This window comes from Homo sapiens, chromosome 18, assembly GCF_000001405.40.
Source record: "Homo sapiens chromosome 18, GRCh38.p14 Primary Assembly".
In the NCBI taxonomy this organism is placed as follows: Eukaryota; Metazoa; Chordata; class Mammalia; order Primates; family Hominidae; genus Homo; species Homo sapiens.
Window position 1 is genome coordinate 44789139 of NC_000018.10, and position 26711 is coordinate 44815849.

Sequence of the window (26711 nt, forward strand, 5' to 3'; positions counted from 1 at the left end):
TTCTTTTAGATCTAATGGACTTTTTGACTCGTTTTAGTGACAGTGGATAAGAGGAGAAAAGGATCATGCAGAAGAAAACATGAGATTTGATCCTTTACCAAAATAGCTTTGTGACCTGAGATTAATCATTTAACTTCCCCAGTCCTCAACTTTTCCCTCTGTAAAATGAAAGACAAAATGGTTGTTGGTATACTTTCCAGCTCAACATCTCTAAGGTTCTAAACTTTAAAGCTGCATAAAATTGATTTATTGAAATAACGTTTCCTTGCTCTGTGTTTCAGCAAGTACAAACATGCCCTCTTGAATCTGACTTCTTTCAGTTTATTGAAGAATATAGAAAAAAATAAGACAGGATCTAAGTGATCATCCGAGCAGTATGTGGAAGATCACTCAGCAGAATTTATTTCCAGGCTGTGTCCATTTAACTTAAATACTGTTGAAATTTATATTCCTATTTGGGTAGCAGTCCATCACCTCCCTGCGCTCTCGCTCCTGTTTTACTCTGCTTCTCTTCTTAAAAAACAAACAGTAAAAGATTTTATTTTCTGATGATTTTTCTGTCCTTATCTATGAACGGAGAAGGGAGTAGGATGGATATTGTGCTTTTAGTAAACGGAGTCTGTCCCAACCTGTGTGCATAGTAAACTCACTCCTCCCACATTCCTGAAATTTAGCAAAACCAACCATGACATGCCTGGTTTATGTTAGTTTTATTTCAGAAAGTACTTTTCCACACTGATTCCTCCTGATAAGGCCTGCCCGGGGCTGCTTTGCTGGCCCCGGGAGAGTCAGAAGTCATTGTGTGACAAGCTGTGTGATCCAATTCACTGGACAAACCCAGGAATGATGTCATTTACCCAGATCTATTCTTTAAACCAAATCCCCACCCATCATAAGATTTTTCTCACTTCTCCTTTGAATCCTGGTAGCTGCTGCACAGATTACAGTTCTGTGATCCCTGCAGGAAGAACAGGCTGTGTTTTATGTGGAAAAAAATAGCCACATGCCCCCCTGTCAGTTTTTCTTGTGATTACTTTTGCTCCAGAAAGGAGAATTTGGGTACTTTTGGCCCAACTTAAAAAATAACACAACAACAATTAAAAAAAAAATCTCAACCAAATCAAACTGTTCGTCAAGAAGTACTATTCAGTTTTTTTTCTCTGCTGGGTACCTTGAAAGATAAAAGGCAACTCTAAGATACTGCTTCCAAAGTATTAGCACCACATGGACTCTCGTTTACAAAGATTTTGTTGCCTGAGCAGAAGGTATTTATTAGATAATCATACATTAATTTTCTCATGAGTTAAAACCAGCCAGACCTTCTGAGCCATGATAGCAAGTGCCGTCACACTGAGGTGCTGCAAACCCTCACAAACTGAGAACCTTACTCCTTTAGTTAACATGGGCAGCCTTATCCCCAGAAAATGTAAAACTTCACTGTGCTTTTTCAAGTATATTCCCAGGATTCCTTCACAGGCCTGTAAGGCATGGGATCTCAGTATTGGCTGCATGACAGAAATGCATGGGGAACTTTTTGAAGACCAAAATGCCTTGGTCTGACCCCCAGAGATTCTGTTTATTTGGTCTGGGAGGTGCTGCCTGGATGTTGGGATTTTTAAGAGTTGTGTGGCCCAAGTTGAGAAGCACTGTCCTAGGGGCTCAGGAATTGCTTGGCCAACCTTCTTGCTTTAGAGAAGCCTAAACTTTGGGGAGATAAAAATGTACATTCCTTAAAAGAGTCCACCCTGAACGAACACAAAACCTAGATAAACTATGAGAGCAGTTGTCTATTTAAAAAAATTATTAAAAATATGCTTTTTTCAGAAATGCTAATTGAATACCTGCTGTTCCCAATACTATTGTAGACCCTGGGAATACACAGGCTGAGCTGGTGAGGAGTCTGCCTGCCTGGAGTTTAGAGAAGTTCAAGGACAGTTAAGTTGACAATGGACTAGAGCTACTTTGCATAAGAGGTGCGCTGAAGGCAGGATTTTGTCCTGCCCTCAATTCCAGGAGATATTTGGTAAAGTCTGGAGACATTTTTAATGTCACAGTTGGATCGGAGGCGCTCTTGTATCTAGTGGGTAGAGGCCAGGGATGCCACTAAACACCCTCAAATGCACAGGTCAGCTCCCACGAAAAACAATGATTCAGTCCCAAATGTCAAAAGCACTGCATTTCGGAAAACCGTCCTAGTGGTAGAGAAAGAAGATGGGAGAAGGACTTTTTGCAGGAAAATTCTCTTACTGTAATGTTTCTTACTCCAACACAAAACACATACACACACATATATACATGCACACCCACACAGATAAAACAGACAAATCAGTGCATTGCTTTGTGGGCCTCACATCAGCCTCTGAGGAGACTTGCATCTCTCAGTGGTGGGGGACACATTCAGGGTTTCTAGACGTGTCCCAAACCACTCACTTTCCCTGAATTTTCAGCATTTAGGAGAAATTTCCATGGAGAAGAAGAATCGCTGTCTGGTCATCCATGCAATTTCCTGCTCAGTTTTAATAGCAGCTGGGCTTCTCCCTGTCTAAGGTTGAAACCAAAAGGCTGTATTTTCCTGTGGGGGCGAGAGAGAGAGAGAGAGAGAGCGAGAGAGAGCAAGAGTGAGAGAGCGCTTACAAACGCCTCCCTGGACATTTAGAATTTCTAAATAGAATTTTGGCTCAAGTCTTGAAAAGCACAGAGTGATGTCAGCTGAGGCGGCCGCTTAATTGCCCTAACTTCTTGGGGAGGGGTAAGGCAGGTATCATCTCTTCTTCTTCATGACCTCCTACTCAACTGTGGGGAAGGCATCCATCTGGAGCCAGAACCATGCACTTCAGTCCTGGTTCTGACACAGTTGGCTGTGCAGTTTCGGGCTCATCATTTCATTTCTGTCTGCCTCTGCTCCATTTTCTGTGATCTAACAATTCTGCTTTTGGGCTTTGGGTGAGGATTAGATTTAATTTGTATAAAGTACCTGATATATAATATAATAGATGTTTAATAAATAGCAGCATTTAAAATTGTTACCATCAGCAAAGGGGGAGTACAGGACTAGGAGATCCCCAATGTCCCATCCACTACAATACGCAAATACAGTGTCATGCTGGAAAATACAGAGGCTTGGCCTGCACGGAAATATGGGGAAAGGTCTTTGTGTTTATGTGAGAGAGAAGATATCCATGTCTGTGTATGTTCCAGATGATTTTTAGGTCCCATCGAATTCCCCCTTGCTGCAAGGAACAGCAGGAGCCAGAGCGTAAGGTAAACGTGTCTGTTGCCTGCCTGAGAAATGAAGTCAGAGCCGTGCCTGAGCCCACCATTCAGGGAGCAAACTGTGCACCCAACTTTGGTTCCGGGTCTTTGGTGGTAGAGCCAGCATAGGGTAGTTGCCAGAGCTGGCATGTGTACTTTTCCTGTTGCCCACCACCGCCTGGAGTACCTGGACCGGATGCCCACGTTCCTCCCCCTGCTGAGCAGGATGTGTTAATTGTCTTTTGCCCGGCCACTTCCACCTCTCCTCTGCCTCCCCTCCATGCACACCACACAGACAAAGTAGGAATATGCTTTTTGATGTTGGCTGGTTTTAGAAGTTTGCCTCCCACCTTTTTTTCTCTTTCCAAAGGAGAACAACCTGAATACCACACACAGTGTTATCTAGCTCTGACTTTGAAGAGGAATTTCTCCCCTTAGGGCTCTATTCCTGGTATAGCATAATCTAGGAGAAAAAAAAAAAAGTTTATCCCAGGGAAGCCAAGTCAGCCGAGAGTTATTCAGAGTGTCTGACTGCTTGTTATATTTAGAAACTACCCGGAGGAGAGCTTTGAGAATGCAAGAGCCTTCCAACTACGAGTGGTCCTGTTGGATTCTCCTTCTGGTTACATGGAGTGGCCAGATGAAGAAAGTCTCCCTGACTATTATTATTTGGGAATCATGGGATAAGAGAAAAAGCAGAAATGCAGCTATAGAGTGTGACAGCCGTAGAATTAAAATCTAGGGTCTCCAAATTATTGTGTCCAAACCTCCCCTTTTGCAGATGCATGTGCTGAATGAGCCGTCATTGGTCTGCTGAACCTCAGTTTTTTTATCTATAAAATGAGGCAGCTGGGTGGAATCAGTGTTCTAAACCTTTGCTGCACATTAAGATTATCTGGGGAGTTTGTTAATAATAGAGATGCTGGGGCCACACAACCAGAGATTCTGATTGAAAAGGCCTGGTGCACACTGAGCACCGGCATATTGCCAGTGCCCCTCCTCAGGGGAATTCTAATTTCCAGCCCTGGTTGACATCACTGGGCCAGATCAGTGCTTCTCAAAGTGTGGTCTCAGGACCAGAAGCAGCAGCATTACCTGGGAACTTGTTAGAAACGCCTATACTTGGACCCCACCCCAGACATACTGAATTAGAGACTTGGGTGGTGGGGACCCCCTGTGTGTTCTATTAAGCTCTCCAGGTGGTTCTTATGCATGAGACAGTTTGAAAAGAACAATAGATTGGATAACTTTTTAAGGGGTGCCTACTAGGTTTCAAACATAATCCTATAAACAGCCTAGATAGGGTACAAGATCAAGCCAAGGCCACACAGATGGATAAATATGTAGGGGAGCCCTTACCAGAATCCAGGCTTTTTGAACTGCTATCCAGAACTCTTTTAATTATCCAATTAGGAAGATGTTTAGGATTCATGGCATGTCATTCCAGTCTCTCTTTCTCTCTCTTCCCCTCCCTCTGTTGAGCTTCTTGTGGGCCAAAGGATTGTGGAGGACATGTTATTTTTAGTTCATGATATACTTACAGTACAGAATATGTTAATTGCAAAAAGAAATTGTTCTTTAATTCTTAGCCATTAACAAGGGGTTAGTCAGAGTTGGACTATTGGCCGCTTCTTTGGTTTCTGTAACTACTGTGACTGAACAGATTTTTTGGAGGTTGGTTGGCAGGTAAATGTAAAGATAATAACAGCCTGCAGAGTATGAACAGGGGAGGGCTAAATAAGAGGGGGAATGGGGACACCAGCAGCACCTTTCCCTTGGGACACAACTGTAACCCTTTTAGCTCTTCTAAAATAGCTAAGATTGCAGCCATTGTACGGCATTTTGTAAAATTCACTGTCTGTGATGGATACAGCTGTATTCTTAAACAGAAATGACTTTTAGGACTGAATTTTTGATGCACTAAGAGATCATTTTATTTAGTTGTCCTAGAGATAAATGCTGCACCCCACCACCAAGAGGTGGAACTGGGACTAGAAGCTTGCTCTTCTCATGCTCAGGCTGAGGTACTGGAGTCGGAAAGAGCAGAGGGGACTTCCAGGAAGATATGGTCGTGTACAAAACTTGGGAGATTACTGGAGGCAATGAGATCGTAATTCAGAGGCTCCCAGGGCTGACAGAAGGAGTTTTAGACATTGCCCAGCACATCTCTCATTTTATAGAAGAGGATTTTGAAGTTTGGATGAGGAAAGTAACCTGCTGGGAAGTCACAAAGGGTTGCAATGACCCCAGCCCTCTTGGTGTCGTTCTTACCCAGTGCTGTCCCTAACATATCACCTCATTGTCTAAAGTCACTCAAATAAACAACAGGAAGATTTGCTGGACCTCCTACCTTCACATACCACTGCAGGCTCTTCAATAAATGGTATTGGGTAGGGATGTGACTTGGGATCGTGATTCATTTTGTTTAGGGATGACTATTGGTGGCAAAATGTGTCTTAGGATCTGAGATTTGTATGTGATAATTCTTCCTTGGGTTATCAAGCAGGAAACATTCATGGATGCAAGACATTCTACCTAATATTATAGACGAGGCTCAGATGCGGTGGAGGATCAAGGCTTACCCAGATTTGAAAATGTGGCAGAGGCCCTCCCCTCTAGTTTCAAGAAAAATATGATTCCTGTGCTCCAGAAAAGTAAGTTGATAAAGTGCTGCTTCTACCTAAGTGCAATAAATCTAGTATAAAATAGCAGTGTCTTATGAGGGGATGTTATTGTGAATAAGGTCACTGCTTGCCATAGTCAATGGTCTACCAGTTCCATGGATATTTTCCCACTCCTCTCTTTCTCTTTTTCTTGAAATACCATGACTTATTAAAATGCCACAGTGATGGTGATGAGCCCTGAAATAGCATGGGTGGTCTCTTAGTTGTTCGGTCTCAGGTTCCTTTTAGATCCTCATAGTGTCAGGAACCCTGACCAGTTTATAATTCACTCATTGCTACTTGGCACATCGAACACCAAGTCTTCTTCCTCATAGCCTGAGTCTCCTTCGGTAGCTATAGCTGTTATTAGAAGTAGAGTGGGAGTGATTGAGCGGTTTTAGATCAGGTTTACTGACTAAGAGTAGCAGGGGAAACTGTGTCTCATTCTGCCCACCTATTGATTCTGGGGTTTCTAAACTCATCTACTGGTTACATCCAGGGTGATTATTATCTGATGAAAACCTGAAGAATGTTTTTAAGGTGGAAAAGGCTACAGATAACAGGTGTATTTTTAAAAGCCTGACAAGAATACGTGTATTTTATGTATTTTATACATACAATGTTTTATGCTAACCCTCAAATTTTGAACATTTAAAATCATTGCTTAGAAAATCACCATACAGATACAAAAGCATACATACATACACATGTGGCCTTGCCTTGTTAAATAGAACTCAGTCAACATAAGCTCTTCTCTCTCTAATTGTTAGAGAGTAACACAGAGATATTGTCAGTCTTTAAAAATGGGTAGAGCAGTTTGGCCCTACACTAAACATCCCTAGACTATGATTTTACATTGGTTCCTGTGCTGTCTTTTTATATCATTTGAGTTTTCTTTCTCACTGTGAAGATGCTAGTTCTTCTCCTTTTCCACTGTTAATAAACATAACCAGCTCTTTCACCAAACTAACCTTCCAATTTGTGCTTCTAATCTGCTGTGGATGGGATACGACATAATCAAGCTGGTGAAAAATGTGCTGAATGTTGGAGCAAACTGATCCCGAATTAAGACTCAAGTAGATCTTCTATAATGGAGTTCTCTTTCCACAGATTTTTCATTTTCAGTCAGCTCAGTGAATTTATTTATCGGGTATTTGCAAAATGAACATCAATATTTTATGTATTGAATTTCCCTTAGGATTATGATTCCTTCCAGAGTCACAGAGGAAATGGGAAAAGAATTATATATATGACTGAATTAAGTAAAGTTTTAGAGCTAGAACGGTTCCTGCCTATTGCGCTAGGAGAGACCTCCAGGATAATCTAGAATTATCTAGTGGTAATCTAGACCAGTGCTTGTCCATCCTCACTGAATGCACGTAAGAATGACCTGGGGAACTATTAAAATACCAATGCCTGTTTCCCTCCTAAAGAGATGCTTATCTGGGGTGGAGCCCCACAATCTGTATTTGTTAAAAGCTCTTTATGTGATTCCAACTGCAGCATGAGTTGAGAATCAGGCATCTCATACAAGTCTCTCACATTACAGATGAATAGTCTGAGGCCCAGGGAGTGGAAGTGACAGGCAATACAGCATTGTCTATGCCCACAGTCAGCAGCAATCCCTGCACATGGCAGAATACTGTTATGATAGCCTTCTTTCAATGTAGGGTTTCCCTGTCTAAACAGCTCCTATTCCTTCAGCTTTTTCTCAAGTGACATGATTTCAGAACTTGGCCAGCACATGCAAGCCTGCTACACACACACGCGCACACACATGCATACACACACATACACACACCACTTTTATCAACTGTGGGATGCTCTACTGTAGCAAAATAATAATCTCTACTTTATTTTGTCTCTCTCTCTTCTCCCTTATCCCCTTTTCCCTTCTGGACTTCCGCCTACCTGAAGGGGGGTAAATGAGGCCTCAGGAATGCACTTGCTCAATATTGTTCTCTGAACTTGATCTGCCAGTGATGTATTAATTAGCTGGGGCACTGCACCTTAACGAACAGGTTACAGGCAGATCCTGGTGTGTGTTAATGCTTAACCAGAGATGTTCAGCAGTGGTCTCATTTGTGGCCTCAATGTAAAGAGAGAACTGTTCTTATTGTATTTTTATAGATGTTTTCTTACTTGTAAGTGTTGACGTATTGGTTTCAATGCCATATGTCAGCATATTTGCTATATGTTGTCTCACATATGTTTAAATTTTTGAATAATAGCACTTTCTGTGTAAGTTATAACTCCTAAGCTTCAATTTATACATGTTTTTCTCCCATGCATGTGTAACTGTGTATGGCATAGCTTTCACTCTGTCATTACATGTTTTAAATTTACCTTAAAATCAATGAATGTCATGTATTTTGCATTAATCGCAGAGCAATATGATACTGCTAGCTGTCATGACTTATTCTCTGTTAACCATGATGAAAAGCACCAAGCCACTACCCTGTCCCTACCCCTGGTGTAGCCTGGTGAGAGGTGGCCCCATCCAGGCTGAGTCACAGATGCAGGTTCAGGATCTCTTAGAATTCTCTTGGCGAAAATGGTAGCTCTCTCTTGCGCCACCTCCCAGCTGCAAAACAGAGTCCTGCTCTTTCCTTGAACCCAGTACTCTGGGGGCTGATGTTAATGGAGGACAGGTAGAAAACAGAAAGTGCATGAACCTCCAGGTGCGCCATGGAGAGAGCTCATTCCCACAGCAATTAGAGATTTTTTTTTTCTTTTCTTGAGAACACAGCATATTTTGCCCACAATTATACTTTTGCATTGACTTCCCAAACTCTCTTTCTCTTTAGCAGTCCACCTCTCTGATCTCATCTCAAATCCAGAGCCATCCTGTTCCGGAAGATAACCCAGGTTGTCATAGAGCTTGGCAGGTGGATTCATGTTGGGCTTGCTCTTGATGCTGGTGTCTTATGAACACATTCCCTGACATCTAAGCAGTCACCTGTTCTACTAAAAGCATATAGGATCCATTTGTGGACCCAAACGCTATGGATGCTTTTAGGCCAGGAAATATACACAGAGACACAAAGTGTTATATGCAACATCTGGAGATTCATAGACCCTCTTAGGAGGACCATAATCACAAAATAAGAATCCTTGGGTGCAGGGATGGACTGTTCCCTCCCAAGAAATAACATAATGTTGAGAACATGTAGACTTTCAAGACATAGTTGCTGAAACCATAACAAAAAAAATGGTGTTCAAAAATCATAAAATCTGAAGATCTCATAGATAGATCATTTAGTGGAAGCCATTCATTTTACTCATGAGAAAATTGGGCCCCAGAGAAGGAAGGTGGCTCCCTAAGGCCACACTGAGGTTAATTACAGAAATGGAAATGTCCCTCTGACCATCTTTTCTTTCTGGAACAATGAAATCCTTCCACCTAAGTGAAGGTGGACTTAACTTGGCTTTTTCTTGGGTTCTTTATAACTCCTTGAGGTATAGGAAGATACCCAGGAATCAAACTTATACCCCAGGGTGGAAAGAAAAACCAAAGTGGCTGAATCTAAAATAGCACTTCCCCTTTATGAGGAAAGTCATCATTTTTCCGGCAACAGGGGCTTTCCACAATGGTATCTCTGGGTTATAAGGAAACCTCTACTCTTCTCTGATGCTGTGTTTTTAATTTGTGGGGAGCTGGAAACCTCACACTGAGACTGAACTTAACATATTGCCCTAGGAATGGAGGTCACTTACGTGTAGCTCAGCTGTTTTCCTAAGCATTCAAAAGACCAAAATAACTCTCGCTTATCTCCTATCTTGGAGCCTGAGACCTGAACAAACATTATGTAGAGGTAAGTGTAACTTGCCCAAGGTCAGCCCCATACTTAGCCTGAAGTCAACTCATCCACATTTCATGCACTTGCCTCCACTGATAGGCAGTGCTAGGCCTCTGCTGGATTTTTTCCATCCTTTGGTTCCTCAGTGAATCAATCAATTATTTGCTTGTGTTTATTGGACTTCAGCTGTATATTAATTAGCCATTGTGGTGGGCACTGTGGACGAGATCTGGCCTACAAGAAACTTTTATGTGTTGGAGAAGTAAAATCAAAGCTTGAGGATTTTTATGAACAGAATTATGACTGTCATTAACATCTTATATTTGTGTAGACATTTAAAATGGCTGTGTGTTCCCCATAATAGCTTTAATAGACAGGTGAGAACCTTTGTGTAAGAGTGGACAGGGCCTTTCCATAGGTTGTTCTCTCTGCTTGGGATTTTTCCTGTTCCCTCCACTAGCCTCCTATGCATGCCCCACCTAAACTTGGCCTTGTTCTGAAGTCAGATCAAGTATAGGTTTTTTTCCGAGAAGCCTTGCCTATTAGATCCTGCAGCCACCCCAGATCACAGAAATGCAGGCATGCGTAGAAACACATTCCTTACCTCCTAAAACTCATCTCCTAAAACTGCACTCTTGCGCATGTGTGTGCTTATTGAAATGATGTCTCTCTACCTCCAGGTTGTGAGCTGGGTGTAGGGAAACCACAAAGATTGCTGCAGCATCACAGGGATAGTAATATCGCAGATGAACCATGATCACACTAGGCTTGAAGAAGGAGGATCAGTTTCAGAATGTGTAGGTTTGCTGGGGATGCGGAGCTAAAAAGAGGGCACAAGCAAGCTCTGTTGGAGGTATACTTGATAGGAGCTGTGGCCTTTGGTTAAGGACACAGCTAGCCTGGGGTGACCCAGCATGGAGGAAGCTGGGAAAACAATACTTCTGACCTCACTCACCTCCCTTTTGTGATCTCCTGCTGGTGCCCCTTCTTGGCTAAAACCAAAGGGTAAAGGAACCTGAATGTGTAGGTATAGAAATCAGCATCACTGGCTAGATAGCAGACCAAGAGGCAAGGGCAAGATGTCCTGCCCAGTGTGGAAGCTACCCCAGTCTTTGTTCCTTTCATCTCCTTTTCAGGTCAGTACCTTGGAAACTGTGGACAGCTGTTCATGACTGACAAATCATTCCCTACCAGAGTTAATATTTACTCCCCTTTGGCTACTGGGACCTTAGGAACCAGGTGTGTGATGGGCAGGGAAATTGTCAAAACTCAGGCTGGTGGTTGTCAGTGGTTTCTCTGGCCTGAGGGAAGTGGATTTTTATTTTATGCTAGGAGACCTCAAGGCTAATTATTCACCAAGTTGTGGTGGCTACCGTCTTAGCCCAACATAAATTTTAAAAATGCCTGCTTTGGATGTCATTTCCTTTTGATGTTTGGGGTAAGTGATGCTTCTGCTTTCACTTTCTTTTGGGGGCTGGGAGTCCTTTAGAAGCAGCAATGAAAAAAGCAGGGATTTATATTGGGATTCTGTTTATAATTCTTGAAGGATATCTATCCCCATTCTCAGATTTGATCTTCACACCAACCCTGGTGGCCTTCCGAGCACGGATCCGACAATCAAAATGTAAATAAACAGTTTCAAAATGGCAAGAACTTTGAAGAAAACCTGTGGTGCTGGGAAGGGCAGGAAGCTTTCCTGATGCATCTGTGCAGAGGGGTGAGCAGGAGTGAGCCAGTGAATGGAGAAGGGAAGAGCAGCCCAGCAATGAGGACGTTTTTCCAAAAGACCCCAAGAGGGAGTAGTTATGGCTGAGGAAATTTTGAGGAACTGGAAGATCCATGTAGGTCCAATGAACTGATGAGAAACAGTGGGAAATGAGACTGGAGTGAGTACCTGCCCCATCCTTGTTGACCGGGAGAGAAAATTACTGTCCCTAGCTTAAAAGCAGTGGGTGCCATTAAAAGACACATGCACACGTATGTTTATTGCGGCACTATTCGCCAATAGCAAAGGCTTGGAACCAACCCAAATGTCCATCAATGATAGACTGGATAAAGAAAATGTGGCACATATACACCATGGAATACTATGCAGCCATAAAAAAGGATGAGTTCACGTCCTTTGTAGGGACATGGATGAAGCTGCAAACCATCATTCTCAGCAAACTACCATAAGGACAAAAAACCAAACACTGCATGTTCTCACTCATAGGTGGGAATTGAACAATGAGAACACTTGGACATAGGAAGGGGAATATCACACACCGGGGCCTGTCGTGGGGTAGGAGGAGCGGGGAGGGATAGCATTAGGAGATATACCTAATGTAAATGACGAGTTAATGGGTGCAGCACACCAACATGGCACATGTATACATATGTAACAAACCTGCACATTGTGCACATGTACCCTAGAAATTAAAGTATTTAAAAAAAAAAGGTTAAGTAGGGGCAGGACAAGATCAGATTTGTTTGTAAAGAGATCCTTCTGGAAGTTCTAGGCAGCTACTCTTGTAGCTTGAGTGAGGGTTGAGGATGGGGCATTAGACAGAGAATGAGACAGGTTTGGGATCTGTTTCGAGGTAGAAGAAAGGAACTTCTTGACAGGGACATGACTGCCTTTGGAAAGTCATCCAGTTGAAGTGTGACATGAGTACTGTCACTACACAGCCATACTCAGCAGTAGAAGCCTTGACTTTGTTACCAATGAGGAGTATGTGTGTGCATGTGCACAGGTTTGCATATGTGTGTGGATTTGTGTGTGTGTTTCTCAACATTGGGACCATTCATGGTTGAATGACTTTTGAAGGTTGAGATGAATTTTATTTTTTTAATTTGAAAACAAATATTACACTTGTTTATTGAGCTTGCCATATAAAAAGAATGAGGTGTGCGAAAGGGAGTAATTTAACAAAGACTTTTTTTTTTTTTTTGTAATTTCTTGGTCTTTGATTTAGTTTACCCAGAATCCAAAAGGAGCACTTCCTACGTTGTGGTAGTTAAATTGTTCCTTTTCCAAGCAGACATGCCTATAAAGTCATTAATGTATTTATGGGGAACCATCTGGCCACTGGAAATGATCCATTTCATACCCTAATGAGAATGTTCTTCTCAGCCCTTCAGTCCAGCCCAGGTTAAAGGAATTAGACAGCCTGTAGGTGAACTCTGGCTACAGTAAATTTCTCACCCCACCTGGCACTTGCCTCCTTTCTTGCTCTCCTCTGCCAGGCAGAAATAATTGGCATACACCGTCCTCCAGGGAATCTCCTTTTCAAGGTTCAGATCAGAGCTGGTGCTTCCATCATTTTTTTTGCATCAATGTCACTGGCCCTGAATCTTTTTCTGAAACAGAGACAGTCATTCTTCTGAGGATCCAAATATTTTCTATGATAGTTTCTGCTCACCTTTCCTAGTCTGGTTTCATGGAAGAAAGATTCATAGATAAGTAGGTTGATTCTTGGAAAGAACCTTTGTGCAGATGGCTTTTGTTCCAGGAATCAATTATGAAGACCCACTGATACTTGTCAAGGCACAGGATTGGGGACTTTAGCTTTGCGAAAGTGTCTGACTATATACAACCAAAGAATAAGCGACAACTTTGCTTATTTGATCTCATTCAACTGGAATGCTCTCTTTCCTTGTCAGTACCCCATTCATTCTTCAAGAAAGGAGTGTCTTCCTCTGAAAAATATTCCTAGACTTCTTAGATTCCAGGTGTATCTTCCTTCCTCAGCATTCATCTTGAGCCCATGTATCTATTCCTTGTCCCACCCATGTGATTGCTTTATGCACACATCATAACTGAATCTGCTTGAGAGAGAAGGGAATGCCTATGTGTGGTTTGTCTCACAAAATCTAATAAGATGCCATATCCAGAACGATGACTCATAGTTACTTAATGAATTATTCAGGTCAAGCATGGCTTTCTCAACTATTCCTAGACTTTTCACTTCTCCTTAGTAATAGCAGGTCTTCATTTCTGGCCATGGGGTATGCACGTCGGTAACCTGCCAGTCCTCCAAGAACCAAGCTTTTTGTTTGTTTTTTGTTTTTGTTTTGTTTTCAGTAGGAATCAGCTATGTTCCCCTGGCATCAGAGGAAACCTGTAGGTATTTCTGTGGGTCATTTGGGCCTGGGTGTCCTTGAGTAGACGTTGAAAAGTATTCTTCCAAAGCACAGAGCCCCATGCGGAGTTAAAGCAAAGATCAGAAAACCAGAGAAGGTCTCGGGAGAGAACACACCATATAAGGTAAGGGCCAATATTTGCTTGCAGGGATTGGGGGAAGGGACATCCTTAGGAACCGAGAGTAATGACTTTGGTCTTCTGAAAGTGCTGTTCTGTTATATAGCAGGCCATTAAACTATGTTAACAGTCATATCAGTTATGTTCAAAATGCTGCTCCTTTGTATATAAACACAGTGGAGTTCTGTAGCTGTGAAGGCCCAGGCCCTTGGCACGGCTGTTCCAGGGTAGGTAGTAAAACGTTTCTTCAGGACTCTGCAGCAGCTGCCCTAATGGAACACTATTGACTTGAGTTACATCGGAGCTAAATATAGCTGGTGCAGTCATGTCCACAGGATTGCATCTGATAGCCAGGACAGAATGTGCTTCTTAGAGACATGCACTTCTTAGACTGAGTCTCCCAGAAGCTGCTTCGAGACTCCTGCCCTTTCCCTTTCCTCCATTATTTTCTCTCTTGATTACTCTTTCTTTTCACTTTTCCTCTTCCAGCTTTCCTGTTCTTCCCCTCTCCATACTTTAGGTCTCACTTCCTCAATAGTGAAAACAAGGAGTTGGGCATCTTTAAACTACCATTCTTAAATTCTTACATTTATCTTTTCTCTCTGTATTCTTTTCTCTTCACCTCTTTTTCACTATTTTTCTCATTCTTTACATTTCTTAATTTTTCTCTATAACTCTTTCACTTTATCCACCTCTAAACAGGGTATATTCTTTAAAAGAAACTTTTTCCTATCTAGCTAAAATTTACTGTTTTCAGGAAGAAAACTCAGATTTAGACAATTGAATATTTTTTCATTAAGTAGTGATGTCTTCTCATGGTCTGTTGCAAAATGACAGAGAAGTATGAGGTAAACTAGCATATTATTGGAACTATTTTTTTTCTCCTTTTTCATCCCTCACTCTTTTGGCTAATTAGTTATCAGGACAAGGTAAGAGGTTGTGTCTGCAATAAGTAAATTGTTTTTAGCCATCCATACCTTTTGGCAAACCAGTTGCCCAAATACACATGATTTTGAAAAAAGAGAGGCACTTGAAACAAAGAAAGGAAACCAAGAGGTTATAAAATTGAACAAGTTAATCTCTTATGTCTTAAAGTGGAGGATATAGTGTGTGCATGGTTGTGCAAGTCTGTGAGTCAGTGTGTGACATTTATTTCCATTCAGGTTATGAGGATGAAAGAGGAGAATATGTAGATGGGCTTAGGCCAGGCGATTTTGACCAAAATGTTATGTATTCCTCATCATGGAATATTCTAATTTGCTTCAAATCATGTGAACCTCATTTCAAGCAGCAGATATTTTCCTGAAGAGATATGAATTTTTGTAAACTGTAGAGTCCGTGGAGAGCCTGGAGAACATTCTGGCAGAATATGACAGGTAGAATAGGGTAAGAGAGCTGTTCGAAAGTAATCCTGTGGCTAACTTATTTTGCAAGATTTGGTTTTGGGATCTGGGTTTTCCCCTCCCTTTTAATGGGTACCTTAAAAAGAATGAATGCTTTTACTAAAGGATCCCAAAGTATTTTCATAATTCTCATGGTCTATGAGAGAACATGCAGTTCTATCCACTATGAGGAAGGCAAAAGCCCATAAATATGGTTCAACTTGCCCCAAGCACACAAACAGAGAACTTGAGTATTATAAAGGGATTTGGGGACCATTAAATCCAGCCCTCTTCTTATTAGTAAAAAGAATGAGCTCAACGTGGGATGGTGATTTCTGATAGAGCTTGCATCGTTTCTTACACTCTCATGGTTTTTTTCTCCGGATATGGGGGAACATCCTTAAGGGCCCTGTGCAAAGGCTTCCACTCCTCCAGGCCATGTCACCTATCAGTCTGTGTGACATGTGTTTCACAGAACACACAGTGAGACATAAACGATGATGGGAAATTCCTCTGTAAGCCTTAGACACAAGGCTGCTGCAGGATCCTGGCCTCCCCTGGAATAAGCACTGTGTGTGCTTCAACTCCTGGACTCAAGCTTCTCCCAAGATCTCAGGCTGTTTGCAGTCCCTACACTTTGTCCATACAACTAAAGTCTAAGGAGAGCTGATAGAGGAAGTTTTCTCTCTCTAGGGATTTAAATTAGGGATTTAAATGTATCAGAAGACTTTAAAGATGAGAAACCGTTTAAGACTCCAAGTAATTAAATAATAAAATAATAAAAGTATTCCTAGCATGTTGAAAGGTGACATTGGGAACCTGCTTATTTGCTGCTCAGCCATATGTCTGAGGGATTAACTTATTCTGTGTGTCTAGCAGCTGCCAGACACCCATGGGGATGGCTGTGGGTCCATGTGTATGCACATGTAAGTGTGTGTGTGTGTGTGTGTGTGTGTGTGGGTGTGTTTGTACGTGTACTTCTCTTCCTTCACCGTCTCAAAACCTACCAGTTATTCAATTCTATGCTCAAATCTCAACCCCTTCACAAAGCAATTTTGGACTTCTCCAAAGGTGTTTTTACCCTGGACATCTCCTTTTTAACTTTGATTATGTTCTGTTGTCCTGGTAACTTCATATGAATTTCCATGGTCTGTTAAACTGTTCTTTCTTTATTTCAGGCATTTGCTTTTTCTTCTGATCTAGATCGTTATTTCCTTGATGGCAGAGACTGTCATCTTTTTCTTGATTTCGCCATAGCCTGACCATGGCCTTGAGCTCAGCGCTGAGCTTGTAGGGCTAGAGCACCTTTGGTTTGGGCATCCAAAGAGAGCTTGGCTGGCACAACTCATTTTTTCAGCAAAGGAAGTAACACTTCACTCAGTTAAGGTTAATCAGATAAGGCAGTGGTAGGGCTAGGGGGAGCACTAGTTCATCCAGCCTCATTGTTCTATGCTAAATTATAGGTGTCTGAACTAAATTTCAGGGGAGAAGTCTGGTAGATCCTCCATGCTTGGCAGGAAAGTGTGCTGGAGGGTCTAGAAGTCATGCCCCAGACCTTCTTTTCCTCTTTGCCTCTGTCACACACTTCTTGATATTTCTGTTATCCTGAAGTACCATGTGTGCATACATGCACCTGCCTACCATTAAATGAAGGAAATGCCACTTTAGGAAGCTGAGAATAAATAGAAAAATGTGGAAGAAAAGTTAATCTACCTAGGAGAAAGTAGAAAAAGAGATCTTTGTTTATTTTTAAAAAATCTGTTTTCCCTTATGGATAACTTTCAAACTCTGTTTTTGGCTTTTCTTAAAGCCTGTGAATCTGTCTTCTGCCACTGGCATATTTTAGCAGGAGTGGTCACAAGACCTTGTCCCCTGCTAATGCATCATGTTTGATTCTTCTGTGTAATATTTTCTCCTTTTCATATCTTTCAGGAAAGGTTCATTCTAAGTTTCTCTCTCTGTCTCGCTGTATGTGTGTGTCTTTCTGCTATCACAAAGATATCTATATATTTATGTACCAGTTTGTTTTGATTTTCTCACTTATGTGACTACTAGTAACACTTAAACTCTTAACATGCTGAAAACTAGCCTACGTTTTCTGACTGAACTTTGTTTTTCCGTAGTAGACTTTGGCTCATAATGAGCTCCTTTTTTTTTTTTTTTTTTTTTTTTTTTTTTTTTTTTTTTTTGGCAATGGTGCTTTTTCTTTAAGAGATAGGGTCTTGTTACATTGCCCAGGCTGGAGTGCAGTGGCTACTCACAGGTGTGATCATACCTTATTTAATTCCTGGACTCAAGCAATCCTCCAACCTCGGCCTTTTAAATAGCTGGAACTACAGGCATGTGCCATTGCATCTGGCTTGGTAATGGTGCTTTAACATAGTGTCCTTATGTTTAGGACTCAGTTTCCCTCCTGCGTGCCACCTAGCCATTGCTTTCTCATCTTTTAATGTCTAACTTTACATGTAGATTTACCCAGCCTGAACCAGCAGCTTCCATTTCAGGATTCCATTATTGTTCTCAGTAAGCCCCAGAGAGCTAATATAGAACTGGGTTCAAAACTGCATTGAGTGTGTTAATCTTCACCCCCTAACTACACTGTAAGCTCTGGAAGGTAACAGTGGGAATCTTATATTTTTTTCTGTGGCAATCATTTTGCATAGCACAAACTTGGCAATATAATGTGAGCTCAGACTGAGGCTCAGAACACAGGGAACAGTATACATTAAAACCACATTTTATAGATTGTACATATAGTTTATTTCTTGGTTGTATATTTGCACTGTAGATCTAAAGTTTACGGCCACTGATTTCATTTTTCCATCTTAAGAGTCTTTTTTTTTTCATCTTCTGCTAAAGTATTAGTAAGTACTCTATCAGTAAGCATTTTACATTTATTTTACTCAATTCAGAATCACAAAACTTTTTCTATCCTATTTTAAATTATCCATGTGCCATTGTAGAGACATTTCCATTCATATTTGGTGCTGGATTTTTTGTTTGTTTGTTTGTTTGTTTTTCTTTGAGATGTTTCTGGCCGAGAGTACTTAGCAGTTTCACTTTGATTCTGAGAGCCAACAGAAACTCCCAAATGGAAATGATATAGAATTCCCTGGGCCAGTCAACATCTTACCAATTTGGATTTATTTGCTGAAGTCCATTTATGCCTCCTTGATTAATTTTTCAATTATTCCTGTTGTAAGGGAACTAGTAGGATCTTCATTTCTAGAAAGATTTATATTGCTAATTTAGGGTGTCCTGCACAGTGCTATTGCTGGAACCCAACATCTTTTCCAGCCTCAGAGGAGACCAAAGTGGACAGTGTTCCAGTTAGGGGGGAAAATGGAATTCACAAGGGCATGGTGGTATAGATGATGGCAGCTTCAGGGTGGGGGAAGTGACAAGCTGGACATGTGGGCTGGGTCCTGAGGCTGCACAGCCAGAAGGAGCAAACCAAGGAATTTGGACTTTACCCTCAGGGTCAACAAAGCCATCAGAACCTACGAATAGGCAGTGGAATCTTCATATCTGGCTCTTAGAAAGGTTTTCTGGTGACAGAATGGAAACTAGATTGGAGGTGAAAGATATCAAAACCCCACCAGCACTCTGGAGGCTCCTGTCGTTCCAGTACCTTCCTATTTGTGCTTTAAGCCAAGAGGCAGTAACAGCTTTTCTGTTAATAACTTCCTGTGCTTCCCTTTCATCTATCCACACGATTGTAAATTAGTTTTCCTTAACAATCATGATTTGGATGTGCCATCTCTTTCCTGTTAAGACCCTGACTGATCTACCCTCCTTCACATGTCTTTATAAATCTTTGTTTCTTTGTTTGCCTCTCCACTAGCCCCTGAGCATCCACAGCAGAACCCATCTATGTGTGGTTCATTTTCAAGTCTTCACTAGTTCAACTGACATTTACCATTTACCAATTAAGCTTCATTTGAAGCCATCATTTCAGAGTTGGGAAAGGTCAGAGCCAACGAGAGTAGCTCAGGAAGTCTTCAGGGGGAGACCTGAGGTGGGCTGAGAAGCCTCTGCTGGGTGGGATGTATAGAGTGAAAGGAGAGTAATTGTAAGAACACAGCACATGCGTCGACAGAAAAGCGGTCAGGACCCTCATTGGGGCCACTGAGGAGATCAGCTTTTCTGGAACACATGGTGAGCTGCAGGAGGAACCAGCAGGAAGTGCATTTGAGAAACCGAATTTCCCTTCCAGAGCTTGTTTCCCCCTCTAATTACATTTGATCCAGGCTAACATGATTCTTGCTGACCCTAAGCATTTGCTGTAGTAGGGCTGGGGAAGAGATTTCAGAAATTGATCAAGGAAGACTTACAAAACAAACAAACAAAAATACCATTAACCAGCTACTTATGAGTAACTGGGAGTTGCTACAAATCCTTGCTTTCCCTCATCCTAATCACCAATTGGATACAAATCTCACGCAAAGCAGGATTAGGTTCCCGCAGCAGTATATAACCAATGGTGCAGATTCCTTCTGTGTTTTAATCATTGGCAGCAGAATCCTGAAAGGTAATTCTTGGCCTGGGTGCCTTTTCTTTTCCCAGTGAGAATAGTGCCTTTTTCTATTCAACTACTGGAAGGTTCGTGTGTGGTCAACAGAGAAAACAGAGCAGAAGTTCTGGAAACTTGATTTTTTGAAAGAGGAATATGTGAGAAATAGTTGGATGAATCTTTCAAACCACAGCTTGATCCTAGAAACATGAGGTTTCCCTTCACTCTCCTATAAAGGCAAATCCAGCAAAGATGAAAGTTTAAAAAAATTAATTACATGAATAAGCTGACCCCAAGCATTCTCTGTAGTAGGACTGGGAAGAGACTTCAGAAACTGACCAAGGAAGAACCTATTTCAAAATGAAGAAAAAAAGAAATTCAAAACAAGAAATTACTCTCATTTCCCCAGTCTGGACATACATGTCTCAGAGAAGAGTAATGTGTACATTTGATTCCTGACCTTAGGATTTAAAAGGAAAATTCATCTGAAATCCTGAAATAATCCTTGGAACTGTGAGGGGAAGGGATATATGGGGAACCAGGCCATAAAAATCAAGTTGAAAAGTTACCCATGGCCTTTAGTATTTTTCTGGATCCAGGGAAGAGGCTCTGTCAAGCAATTTGTCCCTAATGCAATCTCAGTACAGATGATGTTGTTCTTTTAATAAGAGCTCTGGTCTCATTGGCCACAGCTCATTACCTTAGGGTTGGGGAAGGAGGTGAGGGGTGAAAGGAGCAGAGAAAACTCAAACCCAAGTGTTAGGAAGCCTGATTCATGGGAGATCCATCCAAATTATATATGAGAAGCTCTGAAGCCTGTGGGTCAGTGGACAATAAGAGGTTAGGAAGATTAGGAGGTTGAAACACTCAGAATAACCCTTTTTAGGAAAGAATCTAATGCAGAAAGCAAGGGTCCCTACACCCCATTAGAATAGCTAGTGTTGAGACCACCACGTTCTCCAGGCTTATCCCATCTGCCCTGCAAAAGGCAAATTGTCCTTAGGGCCTCCCTGCAAGAACTATTTTCTCCCTCATTTTTACAGGTCCTTGTGGATTTAATGGATTTTATCACTGCATTTATTAGAAAGTAAAGCAGTGGGGAGCTCTTATCCTGGGTACCCTTTTCTTCATTTCTCAAAATATTCCTACCTTTCCTCTCTTCCCAACATATTCAGTCTGCTTTATTCTCCCATATGGGGTCTCCAAAACAGGCAGCAAAGGACAAGGAAAAGAAAATCAAGATTTGAGAATCGATAGTACTGGATCTGGGCCTCAATTCTACCTGGCGCAGGCCCTCCTTCCTGAACACCCATCTAACATTGGGAAAATTGAACTAGACAATGTATAAGGTGCCTCCTAAGCTCTAACATTATGTCATTTTTAAGGAACACAATGAAAAGTGCTCTAGAATCCCTTAATACAGATGGAGGGTTGGTAACTTTACAGTATTGGCTGAAAGCAAAATGCCTCTTTCCTTTTTATGGTTTCCTGGTGTCCATTCACAGTCAGATTCAAGTAACATTTGAATAATGGAACCCCCAAACAGCATAGGAGAATTCCATTCCCAAAGCTTTCCAAATGATCATTGCCACAGCTGAGTGAATAATGTTTGATTTAGGGTCTGGAGATCCTAATTGTAATATCTTTTGTTCCTTATCATGTCATGTCCACTTGGGTTTGGGAAGTAGTTTTCTAGAACTTGAGCACTTCAAAGCTTGCTGTAAATTTCCATGTAGATCACTGGGTTGAGGGAATGAGGAAAAGAGAAGTTGAAATGGAAGCCCACAGGCTCCAATTTTCTTGCTCAGAAATATTAAAAAAGAGATTTTTCTCAAGCCTGAAGGGACACTGGATGTTGCCTCACCCAGAAATTGGCTTCAGGTGATTAATTCCTTTGAATGTCATGCAGAATTATATCCACATATGAACATATGCATTTTCTGGGGCGAACCATGTAAATTTCAAAAGATTCTGAAGGGGGCTCATGACTCAGTAAAGATTCACTTTCCTCATTTTCCAGATTAGAATGCTGAAACTCCAAGAGGGGAGGTGCTGAAGACCTCCTGTTTGATCTAAGAGTCAGGACTTGAACACAGACTTCTTGAGAACAATTCTATTGCTTATTCTCCTTGAGTCTTTTGCAGACAGCTTGCCATAAGGTATTAGACCAGACCTGAAATTTGAAATTCTTTGAAAACATAACATACTTTATTTACTCATGAAGAGACAAATCTAGCCTTGCAAAACATTTTCCGGGCTGCAACCTTGATCCATCCGCCCATCACTCTCTGAACATTCATCCAGGCAGAGATGTTTAAATGAATACACATACACACGTGCTCACACATATGCATGTGCTTGCTCACACCTGTGTGTACACACATCGTTTGTCATGTGTGTCTCTTCCATACTGCTCCACATGCTTTGCCAAAGGAGGGAGATATCAATGAAAGTAATTACAGGTTGGCAAATTGTTTGTGCTGACTGCGGTAAAGAGAATGGGTTTTCTGGAAGGGTGACCATTCTCTGCCCTTCTGCTGCTGTGCAGTCATATGACTCTGTAACCTGTACCTGCGTGGGTATGAAGTATACATTCCTAAGTGGAACTATGACTGCTGAAGATAACAACAGAACTAAGGAATGAAGGGGGTAGAAAGCAATTCTATTTAAAGTTGCAGTTAAACTTTTGAGTTCACATTGAATGTCAACATCTGCCTTTCTTCCCCTACCATGAGGAGGAGTTAAGCAACACAGCTGTTCATGTCCCTGTGAGGACTACAAGCCTGCCATGGCTCTGGGTATGCAAAAGGCCCCAAGTCAAGACCTGTTTCTGGGGATCCCCCATAGAGATCAGAATTCTTGAGGTGGTTGGTCTCAATGCTGACACTGGAAGGGAGGCAGTTGGCTTTTCATGCTTTAAAGACCTGTGTGGCAGCTTTTCTGAGCAGGACAGCTGATTCACCAGAGAATAACAGCTTGATCCCATTCCCCATAGAAATTAGCTGTAGGAGGCCCAGAAGCATCTGACTGGGTGGCCTGAGCAGCTGCCCCATCAACATACCCAGGGCTTGTAGAATTAGGGGCCTGCAGAGAAGTGGAGGTAGTATTGGTATGGGGCTCTCATGAGGAGACTCTCATGAGGAGAGCTGCATGTAAGTCTCTGCAGACATGGCTCTCTACCTCTGTTCTCCCAGTCCTGCTATCCCATGGCACATGCACACCCCCACTTGTCCCCCACCGCCACATACACCCCTGCAGAGGTTAAGACTATACCACAGTGATAATGATGTCATTCCTAAAATACTTGAATAAATTTATGTTTTTGCAAATTCAATAATTTTTTCTTGATACACAGTTTCCCTTTGGCCATCTATGATTTGCTTGTAATTTGGATTGATTTTTAGTGCTCCTAGATTCCTCTAGAAAATAGTGTCAGGGCCGTAAAATAGCCTTAAGAGAGCAAGAAAAAAATGTTTTCTCAAGCACTTGTGGGTTGCACTATTTTATTAAATGAACAATAATTAATTATTCTCCTCATGATTGCATGTGAGATATTTTTGCTCATTGGTTTGGCATGGAGCACTGTCCATGTGGACAGTGCAAAAGGGATCTGTTGGTGCCCTGGCTGGGTATCTCTGCCTCTCTCCTGTGGACTCCAGGAGAGTTGCCTTTTCTGTGGCAGCACTGATGTCTGTGCCCCAATTGCTCATTGTATTGCTTCCTGCCAACACCTTGAAAATCAAGTTTCTATATGTGAACTGGGATGAAGCCAATATGTAAGCTGGAAAAGGATACCTTATGGGGCAGCATTTTCTTTGCATTTATAATTTGATGAGGGCTAAAATGTGAGAAAATGCTACACTTCAGCAGGCCTGGGATTTCTCTTATTTCAAGATTATTTTCCTTGATGTGAAAACCTCACAGGCCAGAAGTGTTGCCAAGATTGTCCCTTCCATGGCATTAGCCATGGGTGACATCAGAGGTCTCTTTGGGGCCACATCAGTGACATGTTCATTCTGAGAATCAGTTGTCCACAGAACAGAGAGGATACAGGATGTAAAAAGGTAAAAAGGAATGAGTCCACTTAAAAAAAAAAAGAAAGAAAGAAACCAATGCGGTTTCTCTGTGACTTTGTCCACAAGTGTTTCTCTGAGAGTCTTTCCCACTGATGTCCTACACTTAAACAAAATTAAAGTTGAACACTCCATTCTGTGGCCATGTCCTTTCAGGCTATCTTTGAAATGGAGGCATTACCTTTGGAAGATACCCTATGGTGATGGCTCCTCCCCATGTTTTTACATGGCAGAAGATATAAAAACTTCTGGCTGTTTCCTGGGAAGTAGAAGGGCTTTTTTTTTCCCTTTCCTAAAGGAAACTCTTCTTCATGATGGGGAGACAAGTGCTGGACAGGGCTGGAAAGAAAGAAGCCAATAGCCCACTCAGCCATTGGCCTTGCAAGCTCTTGAGGCTTGGATTTCCTGCAAAATGTGACAGTGTGACAGAGCTGAGTGCATGCTAGACTGGGAGCAGGGTGTCTTCTGTGAGATCTTGGACCTCAGAGTTGCCATCTGCAAATGAGAAGCTGGAACCAGCTCCCCAATTCCATCTAGGCTCTACATTTCTATGATTTTGCCATCATTAAAAAGGGAAACTTACGCAGCTTTTGCCTTCTGAGGAAAGACAGAGAACATGGTGATGGATCCAGCTTGTATTCAGGAATTAATTTATGCAAGAAACACATAGTAATTCTGCAGAACGTGCCAAGCAGTGTCCTGAGTGCTGCAGATGTAAGATTTGAGTCAGACCCTCAGGTTCCTCGGAATGCTCACACACTAATGGACCACATCTGTTTCTGGACATGGGAACACTGATGGGTTTTTTGTTGTTAACCCTGGAACCTCCAAATCTCCTGGAGTTGTAGGAGAGTGCTGGAGGCCCTGTCTGCCAGGTTGAATCTGCAGGTCCTTTGGTTCTGTTCCGTGATAGAGTCCAAGTCCTATAGGCTGGAAATAATGATAAATAAAGACGAGGGCCCTTGCCCTCCAGAAACCCCCAATCTAGTGGAGGACCCAGGCAAAAAATAACCTGAGAATGTGATCTATAGCTGAGGCAAGGGCTGAAGGAGTAGAGAAAATGCACCTAGGCCAGTGGGAGTAGGGTGATGGGGGAAGGTTGGTACAGAGAACCACACTCATGAACAGAGAGTAGAATCTTCTAGAAACTACCTCTAGCTTATTGAATTTGCACAGTTATATAAGAATATATCAAGAACTTGCCTCATGCAAAACTTGCACTAGATGCAAGATAGTTGTGGTAGAAATGGAGGTTGCTGGGTGGGGTTAGGAGGAGTTTTGGCCCAAAGAAAACAGATAGCAAATTAAACAGAAGGCCAGATCCAAGGGCCAGGTTGAGTGCTGCTGATTTTTTAAAAATTGAATTAATTACAATAAATTGGGCCAACATGATATATGGCTTCTTACACATCTAGAATTGGCAAAGCAGACATACTGTCTGTTAGTCTAAATGACGGCAAATTTTAGGTGGCCTAGGAAGTAGGAGCTTCTAGTGATAAGCCAAGACTAAATAAAATTCCTTCTCTATGTAACCGAATGTTTGATTAAAACCCCACATGACAAGGACAAGTGTTTTTAAGAATCAGAGATCCATATGAACAATGATCTTTAAGGCTTCAGAGAAGAGATAGATGCAGGCTGGCCGCACTCTGAGCTGTAACCTCTGATGTCGGGCAGTGCACAACTTGTGCAGCTATTCATAGTATTCCAGAATGTCAGAATCTGAACAGGTTTTTAAAAATTGGCTTGGATTGATAATCAGATTTGGTGATGAGCATTTTCTGGTAGGTGAAATATCGTAAGGACAGGTGTGTAGAGGTGGCTATTAAGATAAAGTATGTGGAATTTGGGGTCCTTGAATCCTGTTTAGCTGTACTTGGTGTCAATTGAAATCTCATAACATTGGCTATGTAGCCTCCCTCTAATATCATAAGCATATTGTTGGGCAGGGAGGACTGCCTCATATGACAGACCCTGATGGTGAGGTGAGAAGATATATAGCTGCTGGCCTTGGCACATCCTGTGCCAGCAACTAAGTGAAGACTTGTATTCCTCTTCTCTCCTTGATTCAGAAATCAAGCACCTGATAAGCTCTTATCATATTTCCAGTGCATGTTGAGCACTAAGGAGTAATAGAGGAAAGTATTGTTCCCACCGTTAGGAACTGAACTCTTTCGATGAGGAAACAAAGTTAGACCGCACACAGTCTTACATTAAAATGTGTGGTAAAACCCATCTGGACTTTAGGACTTTGAGATGTGAATTATCAGCAGGAGTTTTGAACTGAACTTTAAAGCGTGAGTTGGATTTGAAGAGGAGGCTGTACGGGGCAGCCCGTATCTACTTTTCAGGGGCAAAGAAGGGAGAAATGGGCAATAGACATTTGAATTATCAAATGAGACATAGTCTATTAGACTCCTCTTTGGCTACTGTTTACTTTGGTCATTTTCTTGGGGCTGGAGATATACAAGTGGCAGAAATCTGGAGCTTTTCTGGACATGTTTTTTTGATGCTACTGATACCTTTGCTATTCATGCATATAGTGTTTTCCAGTTTCTGTCCCTTGGAGGATGCAGGGCAAGTGATAGGACTCATGTATTAACAGTGAGGCTGCAGCCAGGATTACCCATTAGCTGCTCTCGTCAACCAACACAATTGGGATTGTCAAATTTTCTTTGAAATTCCAACACATTGTTTCTGTTGCCAGGCAGATGAGGAAACTGAGACTCAGACAGGCAAAACAACAGCCTGAGGACATATGGATGCCCAGGAATTGGGGCCTGCAGCT

The 26711-nt window shown here is 41.9% G+C and overlaps 1 protein-coding gene across 19 annotated transcripts in view, besides 2 other annotated features; it reads left to right on the plus strand.

The window, feature by feature from the left end:
- The window catches only part of SETBP1 (SET binding protein 1), a 388438-nt gene that overhangs the window by 109066 nt on the left and 252661 nt on the right, over window positions 1-26711 (plus strand). For 2 of the 19 annotated variants that reach the window (XM_047437479.1, XM_024451157.2), the window contains exon 3: window positions 1-11153. This exon is cut by the window's left edge. The exons of 15 other annotated variants lie outside the window; for them this stretch is intronic. In XM_047437479.1, the coding sequence (XP_047293435.1) occupies window positions 11145-11153 (9 nt within the window). In that variant the 5' untranslated portion in view covers window positions 1-11144. The remainder of the gene's footprint in view (window positions 11154-26711) is intronic. 2 more of the 19 variants (XM_047437480.1, XM_047437481.1) reach the window with 2 other exon arrangements.
- Window positions 13888-13937: an enhancer, noted in NCBI's record as "active region_13256". NCBI's record gives its function as "activates an Ori minimal core promoter by ATAC-STARR-seq in GM12878 lymphoblastoid cells {active_cell/tissue: GM12878}" and the evidence as "EXISTENCE:reporter gene assay evidence [ECO:0000049][PMID:35858748]".
- Window positions 13996-14478: an enhancer, noted in NCBI's record as "ENSG00000152217_18:40637097-40637579 (NCBI36/hg18 genome assembly) insert fragment". NCBI's record gives its function as "drives selective reporter gene expression in differentiated C2C12 myotubes {active_cell/tissue: C2C12}" and the evidence as "EXISTENCE:reporter gene assay evidence [ECO:0000049][PMID:22144875]".